Here is a 9,537-nt window from a genome sequence, read left to right on the forward strand (position 1 = left end):
GACAATGGATGTACAAGACCATGAACTCTGTTTGTCTCACGGTCCCAAATGAATAATATAGCATTTCTGGGTGCCCGTGTGTGAAATTGCAGGCTTCTGGATCAGTGGATAAAAGGGATGATTAAGATAAACCCAAAATAAAAGAAGAATTTGACTCTAATTAAGTGTAACTATCACTTTAAACTTAAATTTGATTGGAATGGAGATCTTGGATGATATTGAACATGAAGCATCTAAGAACTTCATTATGAGTGTTGAATGACAACAAGAATGGGGACTGGGGATGGAAGAGGAAGGTAAAAGGACTAGGGTGGAGGGAGGGGGCAGAAGAAGGAATGAGACATTTTAGAACTCCCAGCCTATCCTGCTTCTGGTGTCCTGGCTATACAGCAATATTAAGTAACACCAATTGGGCTTATAATTGTAACGTAGTGGCTAAGAAAACAGATTCTGGAAGGAGACTTCCCAAGTTTGAATCTCTGATCTGCCATTTGCTGTCTGGGTGAGTCTGGGAAGCCTATTGAACATCTCTGCATCCCAGTTGCCTCATCTGTAAAATGGGAAAAAAGGAATACATTTCCTGTAGGGTTGTTGTGTGAATTAAATGAGTGAAAACTTGGGGAGTAGAAGGAGCCCTAACTAAGTGTGGCTTATTTACATTTTGACCTGTTATATTCCTTACATTAAATTTTCATACATATTCGACAAGGAAGTTACTGATCATCTCTAATTTACAGATGAGGAAACTGAGGCACAGAGAGGTTAAGTAACTTGTTCACGGTCACACAGCTAAGTGGTAGAGCAAGTATTTTAGTCTAGGCTGCCTGCCTCTGGAGCCCATCCTCTTAACTGTTGTGCTAATCAGTTTCTGGGTGCTCCTGGGGCAGTTCTTTGCGGATAGGGAGGAGAGAATCACACCTAAAGAGCATCTATGATGTACCAAGTATTGTGCTGGGATGACTCACTTGTATTTCCTTGGTAATTTTTCACAATTATCGTGGGAGGTAGCTATCACTATTTTCTTTTTTAAGACAAAGAAACAGAGGTGCCATGATTGCTGAGGCTCACCCAGTTGGTCAGTGGCCAAACCTGCACTGAACTCAGGCCTGACCAATGTTAAAGGCAAGCTGTGGAAACAGGAGCTTAAGTTGGCCTCTCTTCTTTTGCTCTGGCCTCAACACTGGCCTAAAAGGTGGCCCATCTGTCTCTGTTGGCTCAAGATTTCTAGGATTCATGGTTATTGCTGGCACAATCTTTCTGTTAGTATAGAGTGGAAATTCTGGTACCTCACTGAATCTGGTGCCTAGTATCGTTCTTGGGATCAAGAACGCACTCAATACCTACATGGATCATAAAATCATGTGACTTAAAGGGCATACCATCTGACAGAGGCTGGAGGCTTCCATCCTATTCTTTTCACTACATATAACAGGCTTCACATCTCAGATGCTTTTCCTAGAACTTGCTTTCTTTAACCAAGGTGAACATTTCTTTGTCATTTATTTTTTCCCTCAACCTGCCAACTTCACCACCATCCCAAGAGGCAGCACAGGCTGAAAACAAAAGCGAGTTAGAAAAACAAGTTTAGGTAAATTCACAGATAATACCATTGGAAGGAGAGATTTACAGTGTGATGGTGAAATGCACTGGCTTTGGATTAGACCCCTGTCACTATTATTCTCATATTATTTTTAGAAAAGAGTCTGTTGGAGAAAATGCAATTTTCTATGCTCTATTGGCTCAAATATTTGGGAACAAAAAGATTTCTGTCAGTGGGTGTATATAACAACAAACTCCTAGCACCTGCCACCTGGGAGACATTAGATGAGCTATCAGCTTTTCAGGGTCACAATTTCCTCACCAGTGAAGTATCTACTACTATGATTCTTGGTGCATGGTAAATTTCAATAAATGGCAGTTATTGTAATGGGCTATAGAGAGAGACACAGATATTGGTTGAGAGCCCCAACCTTTGGGCATTACCATAACAAGTAGGATAATGTTGCCCTTCCTCTTCCACAATGAATAATCATAATAGCTACCATTTGCTGAGCATTTACCGGGTGCAAAGAACTGTCTAGGCATGCTACAGGTATTAAGTCATTTAATCCTTATATCATTCCTCCGAGGTAGGTACCATTATTATCACCTAAAATTTACTGATGAGGAAACAGGGATAGAGAGTTGAAGTAACTTGCCCAATATCACATAGCACATGAAGCTTAAAGCAGTACTGGAGCCTCTGCAGGATACACCAATGCACCATATATGGAGCCTATGCACCAGAGTCCACAAGCTTTACCATTATGCTACCATTTGGTACCTCTCGGTGAGGCAGAATCTAAGTTGAAGAGATACCAATTTTCTTAAACATCCCAAATTGCTGGTAGGATCCTTGAAAGCAAGGACAAGAGTCATGAATCTTTTGTCCCCCCAAATGCCTTGCACAGACTTGTGCAAAAGTAGGTGCTTAAGCAATTCTCATTCGTTGATTGTCAATTGGTTGATTGATTGGTCAGATTTCTTTCTTTGCTTTGTTTCCTCTTTGGGTGTTTTCCCTCATCCTCCTACATCCAACTCACTCTTTAGCTGTTCATGCTACCATCTTCCTGACCAGAAGCCCCGATTCAATCGAAGCAACAGTTAGGTGGCCCTCTTAATAACCCTTCCTTGGCTATGAGCCTCAGGACAGTAAAGGTCTCTGTTATTTCCAGTACTGAAGGCACCCTGGAGGTTAAACAATGGCAAAGTCAATGGGGAATATTGTAATATAAAATGACAGAATTTGATTTCATTAAAATCTGTAACAAAAATATGATTTTATAGTTATAGGTTTAATTATGATAATGTTTGTGAAATAGTTGATGCAACTGCATGACCATATTGCTGGTCTTTCTTCTTCCAGTAAAGACACTGGAAGTCAATCTATTAGAGGTTTCTACATTTTGGGTAAGCCCCGTGAATCTGAAGCCATAATGCCTCTATAAAAGCACAGATCTGAGAGGCACAGCCAAGAGGACCCTTCTCATAGGAAGGATTCCTGAAGACAGGATTTTCTTTAGATGTTTTCCTACCACACATAGGAAGTGGCAGACATGAGGTGTGCTTTCTGAGAGAGTTGTTTGGGATGGTAGTCTGAGGAATGGACGACTCCTGTGGCCAGCCCATACTGTTGTTAGAGGACGGACTGGGCTAACAGTGTTGCCATTGGAATCTTGGGTAGTGAATGGGGTGGTCCCTCTCGATCAGGCTAATTAGCTTGACGAATCTGGGATTCATGCTAATGAAGGTTATCAATAGATTATCAATCATACAATTATTAAACACTTACTCTTTTTGCAGGCAAGCGAACACTGGACTTGCTGAGAGAAGGTAACTTTCTGAACCTGTTTCCTCACCTGTCCAGTGTGAATGATCGCACATGCAGCTTGATAACATGTGTGACCACACACATTGGCTTCCATAGCTCTAGACTAAACACCTCACTCCTGCTGACTGTCACCCGTAGGCATGTCCTTGGTCAAAAGATGGGAGTGGAAGGATGTGAAGATGGAGCATGGGAGGTGAGAAGTGATGCTGGATCCACGCAGATCTAGCCTCATCAGTCAAACAAGACTTAATGCTAAGATGTTGTTGGTTATAAGATACGTCATCGACTTAAACAATTGTCTTAGAGGAAGCGCTATGTTAAATATGCAGATAGATAATAAAGCTTGTCCTGATTTCAGAAATGTTAAAATGTGAATTTGATAAATACAACAATAAAAAACCCAATAGGGCAGTATTTAATATCAATAAGAGGGATGTGAAAAAGAGTAAGACCTAGTTGTGGCCTTCAAGGAATAGATAACCTAACAGAGAATTCAAGAAGAAATATTGAGAGGCATTAATTAATTTCAAGCCAAATTTTGAACTAGGGGCTGTAGGACTTCAGAGAAGAGGAGCTAATAGTGCTGGAGCAGCCAGAAAAAAACTTTCTGTGGGATTTGGCATTTGAGTTGGGTGATGAAGGATTGGGGTGACCTGCTAGAAATGGATGCTTATTATGTGCCAAGCACAATAGCTGTAGGAGTGGGGCTGTTATTATACCCATTTTACAGAAGAGAAAACTGAGGCTCAAAGAGCTTTAGTAATTTGCCCCAGGTCACACACCTAAGTAGCAGAGCTGGGATTCAATCCTAGGATAACCTAACTCAAAGCTCAGGCCCATTGGCCACTGTGTTCTGCAGTGTCTTGGGGGCGCTTTCAATCAAGAGGAAACCTGGCCGTGCATGGAAGGAGAGAGTAGGCATGGATAGCTCATGACTGCTACTTCCTACTCATGGGAGTAGGAAGTCTTACATGTGTCACTATGTGACAGTCCTGGGTAAGTTGTGAATCATGTGTCTGGAATATCAGCACCTATGAACAAGGGGACCTCTGACTGTTAATGGGGACCTCAATATTGAAAAGGCCTCTGATTTTGTCTGCTATTTAGGAGCAAACTTGTGTGGGGCAGCAAAATGAGACTTTGTCACCAGCTTTGATTCTGCTCTTACTCTTGCCCCCAAAAAATAAAATATGACTCCTACATTTTTCTGGGAGTCACACTGTTTTTCTTTCTTTCTTTCTTTCTTTCTTTCTTTCTTTCTTTCTTTCTTTCTTTCTTTCTTTCTTTCTCTTCTTTCTTTCTTTTTCTTTCTTTTCTTTCTTTCTTTTTCTTTCTCTCTTTCTTTCTCTCTCTTTCTTTCTTTCTTTCTTTCTTTCTTTCTTTCTTTCTTTCTTTCTTTCTTTCTTTTTCTTTCTTTCTTTCTTTCTTTTCATTTCTTCTTCCTCTCCTCTCCTCTCCTTTCCTTTCCTTTCCTTTTGACAGAATCTCACTCAGTCACCCAGCCTGGGATGCAGTGTTGTGATTTCGGCTCACCGCAGCCTCTGCCTCCTGGGTTCAAGCAATTCTCATGCCTCAGCCTCCTGTGTAGCTGGGATTATAGGCTCACACCACCACACCCAGCTAATTTTTGTATTTTTAGTAGAGACAGGGTTTCACCATGTTGCCCAGGCTGGTGTCTAATTCCTGGCCTCATGTGATTTGCCCTTCTCAGCCTCCCAAAGTGCTGGGATTACAGGTGTGAGCCACCACACCCGGCCCGTACTGTTGTTGTTGTTGTTTTTATCCATGTCTTTGCAATCTTTTACCATCTTCCACAGTTTCATTGGCCATTAAAAAGTTTACGTGTCCAAATCATACACTGAAATTTCCTGAGTTTGGTTCTGTTTGGGAACTTGTTTAGAGAAAGTCTCTGTTGCAAACACAGAATGGTATAAGAATTTAGGTATTATGCTTTTACAAAACTATTATGAAGTTTTCTGATGTGTCACTTTATTACAGAGTTTAACATCATATCTCAACAGAAATCCAATGATTCTGGTACTGACACATCCAAGGGGAGAGGCCTCAAAATTGAGAAGCTGCCAAGACTCACCCACAGGTTCATGTCAACATGGACTCACTTGTACCCCAAGCCGTAGGCCTAAGTGGGCTCCCCTTAGAACTTGTCCACCCCTAAGGTAAGTGTCTGGGATTGGAATTTTTGGAAATTATTGTGAAGCAATTGGACAGGTGTCTTCAATGTCCTGGACATCACTCTTACCCACATCCCTGTTCATGAAACTATGTTTTAATTCTTTCTCAATGTGTGAAGGGAGATGGGTAGGATTCTGTTTCATGTTGTATGGACAGTGATATCTCTCTGGTTCCAAAGAACCAGTGAGATGTGGAACTTGGCTGAATATTTTTGAGTGATGCAATAATTTAAAAAGATATCCATGGTTTTGCAAGGAACATAAGCTACATAAGAAGGCAGTTAAAGAAAAACCAGTAACAGAAAGAGCACTGGGATTTGAGTCTAATTGATGTAGGTTCAAATCTCAGTTCTATCCCTTGGTAGCCAAGTTACTTATCTCCTTGAGACTTGGTTTCTTCATCTGAAAATAAATTGTCACTTCATACAGTTTTGGTGACAATTAAATGAGATAACATGGTATATGTAATATATGAAGCACTTAGCCCAGTGCCTGGCATATATTAAATACTCAATAAATGATTATTACTGTGATGTCTCCATTTCTAAATTAGCAAAATGAAAATAATATTAACTACTCACTAGATCAATTGAAATAATAAAGGTGTATGTGTCTGGCACATGGTAGATATTCATTCATCCATTTTTTCATCTTTAGTTTATTTGGAATCCATCAAAAGTTTACAAACCCTGGGAGTTAGGAGAAGGCCACTTTATTTGGCCAACAGTCCTCTTTCATCTTAAATGGAGCAGTAGTTTTATAAAATGTTTATTTCCTTATCTAAACTGTTCTTTTTCCCCCGGGCCCTTATGTGCCTTTCTGGGAGCAAAGAAACTCCAGGAATCCCAGCAAATCACTCTGCAGAGTGGCCAACAGGTGTGACATCAGAAGTCCTAATAGTGGGGCTTTGGTGAGTTTGCCTTTTTGAGGTGCCCATGGGAGAATGGATGCTATCTACCTCTACAGGAAGGAAGCAGCCACTTGGTGTTTCTGGCTTTCAGGCTGTATCCACCCCAGGTTTCAGCTGTCATTTTGGGCCAAGTTAAAGGCAGAGGGCAGATTTTGCACAAGGCCCTCTGAAGTGGGGAATAATTTGGGTCAAGTGTTCCAGCTAGGGTGAGCAGCAAGTTGCACAGTCAGCCAGCAGAAAAAGGCTGTGTGTGGAGAGGCCTGGTCCAGGCACTAATGATTCAGGTAGATTGCCAGGAAGGGCAGAGGCAACCAGGCTGGCTGTGCCTGTTCCACAGTCTCTGGGCAGTTTCTCGGCCTTCAGCTTCACTGTGGGGGAACCTAGCCTCGGAGTGTTACTGGATACCCACCTCCCCACTGATGCCTGATCAAATTTAAATCAAACCTGCAGTTCTGGGCCCTGAAAGTTCATTTTTCCTACCCAGTGCTGAGTGAAGTTGACTTTAGGCCAGACCAAACAATATTCAGGAGGAGCCCTACCCATTCAAGATACTTTGCAACTGACAAACATTTTTAAGGTGATGGACATTTAAGACAAACCATGATAGGTCTGGAGATAAGATTTGAAAATTTGGCTGACAGTTAGCAGCCAAGGAGGGCATCTGCAGGTGGAGTTTGCAACTAGGAACTCTATAGACTCTAGCTAATTATTGTACAGATATAGAAAAGCCTCTTTTTTGGGAAAAGGGTGATGACAAATCCAAGGTATAGTGGATAAAACAGGCACAATTTCAAGTCCAGCTGAATAAACCTGGGCAAGCAGACACACACATGCATGTGTGCATGCTGTCAGTGCTACCACATACACTTCCATCCCTCATACAGAGAGTTCACCTAGCACCTAGACACACCCCCTACATCCACCACACTCTCCCCACAGACACCCTGTCCTCCCCACCGTACAGACCAACCACACACAGCACAGACCCCTCCCTCTTCTCCCATGCACACATCATACACACAGCCATCAGATAAACACAGTCCCCTTAGGAAGCCGATTAATAAAACTATTTTATCTATAATTACACTTGACTGATAATAATGTCCTCAGAGCCTGCATGGTTAGATTGGCTCAGATTGTAACATCCAGATTACAGCTGAACTCCCTTTGAACTCTGGCCACATTGCTGGTCTCTCCAGCTCAGAGATTACAGATGGCTTTAGGTGGATTCACCCCACGGAACCAAGAAGGTAAGTAGAATTCCAGCTCTCCTTGCTTTTCTTTTCTCTCCAAGCCTGTACAGATGATGCGATCTCTGAAAATACATGGCCAAATACAAGAGGAAGGCCGAAATCAAATAACCTCCTCCAACCCACCCTTGTGTATCCTGGTGGGTCACCTTGCAAACCAGCGTCAACCTCAGATTCCACAGAGGAGGTTGCCTGGAATGCTCTCTTGAAGACTGACATTTGAAAATAATCAGTTTAATTTCTGGGTCTTGGGATCTTGGGGACGGACTCCAGTGAGCCATAATTAACTCTTTAAAGTCTTCACCGTGTGCTGCAAATAGTAAAATATCTTATTCTTTATGATGTAATGCTGAATGGAGGCAGCAAGGAGGCTTTTCAGGCTAATTACATGTTGGAACGAGGTTAATGACATGCCGGAGATTCTTTGCGTGGCTACCCTGACATTGACAAGTCAGTCGGTAACATGCTAGGGCTAAAGACAGCGACTACTTTTAAAGAAGGCATGCGTCTGGAAACAGCTAGACAGGCCCCTAATCTGGCCCCTCTCCTGTCCGCCACCCCCCCGGCCCCGACCCCACTTCCCATTTTTCGGGAATTAAGAAATCTTGATTTTAAACTGGCGTTCAATACCAAGGGCCTGGAGATTTGGATCGGCATCCTCATGAGTCTCAGCTCTATCTTATGCTTTTTACAGCAGCTGAATTTAGCCAAGGATGCAAACAAAAGTCCACTATCTAAGCGGATGTTTTTGGGCTGAGCAGAAGGCACGTCTGTACAGACAAGCAAGGTATGCATCAATATGAATGACTGGATCACAGTAAAATGCCCAAGACACGGGAATGAGTTCTGATTCTAGCCAACTGAATGAGCTCACATTCTGGTCCCACTCTGCAGGTGGGCACACTGGCATCTCAAAATCATGCAAGGAGACCCGACATCTGTTTCCATTCTTCTACCTGGGGCCAGGCCATACGTTAGCCACATGCAGAGCTGTCTCCAAGAGACTCCAGCCCAAGCTCCAGTGTGCCGTGCATAGCTTTGTGACTCCCGGCATTCCCTATCTGGATGAAATTGGGTAAAAGTAAAAATGCATCACACAGGCAGACTAAATAGGAAAAAGTAGCTATGAAAGATGGTCCTGCTTCCTAAAGAGGGTTGTCCCACCCCTTAGGAGGGCATTGGGGGCTGGCTTGCAGGCTAAGGTGTAAGGAAAAGGGCCTTAGTTTCCTTGCCACTTGCTAGGAGAGCCATCTCTTCTTCCTCCCTGGCAGATGGCTTGGGGCAAGGGCAGCTTTGCCCGCTGGACCCCAGCATTTCCTCTCCCCCCAGGTGCCCTTTCCTCTCCCTGCACACTCAGACCCGCACAGCACCCACCTCAGCTCCTTCGTCCCACCAGGCTGGGCTGGACTCGGGTCCTCCAATGTAGTCATCACCCAGCCCTGTGAGGGCCCCGGCTGGATCGACCCCTCCTCCTCAGTGAGAAGGACACTGCATGGCTGCCTCCAGGCAGGGGACACCACCCCTGGGTGTCCCGGCCCCGAGCAGCCTCCCAGGCGCAGCAGGGTCCTGGAGTGGCAGCTGACAGACGGCTCTTCCACCTCCACAATGCCCAGGGGTCAGCAGAGGGTTAGGCAAGTCTTTCGTTTTGACATGAGCTACCACGGAGAGAGACAGCCAGAGAGAGACTTTTGCTCTGTGGTGAGTGGCTGAAGTCTCCGTGTGCTGCTGATGGGTCTGTGGTCTCCAGTGGAGGTGAGGTGTGCAGCGTCTGGAGGAGCCAGAAAGAAATGTGTCAGACAGGGCTTGTCAGTACCT

This window comes from Homo sapiens, chromosome 11, assembly GCF_000001405.40.
Source record: "Homo sapiens chromosome 11, GRCh38.p14 Primary Assembly".
In the NCBI taxonomy this organism is placed as follows: domain Eukaryota; kingdom Metazoa; phylum Chordata; class Mammalia; order Primates; family Hominidae; genus Homo; species Homo sapiens.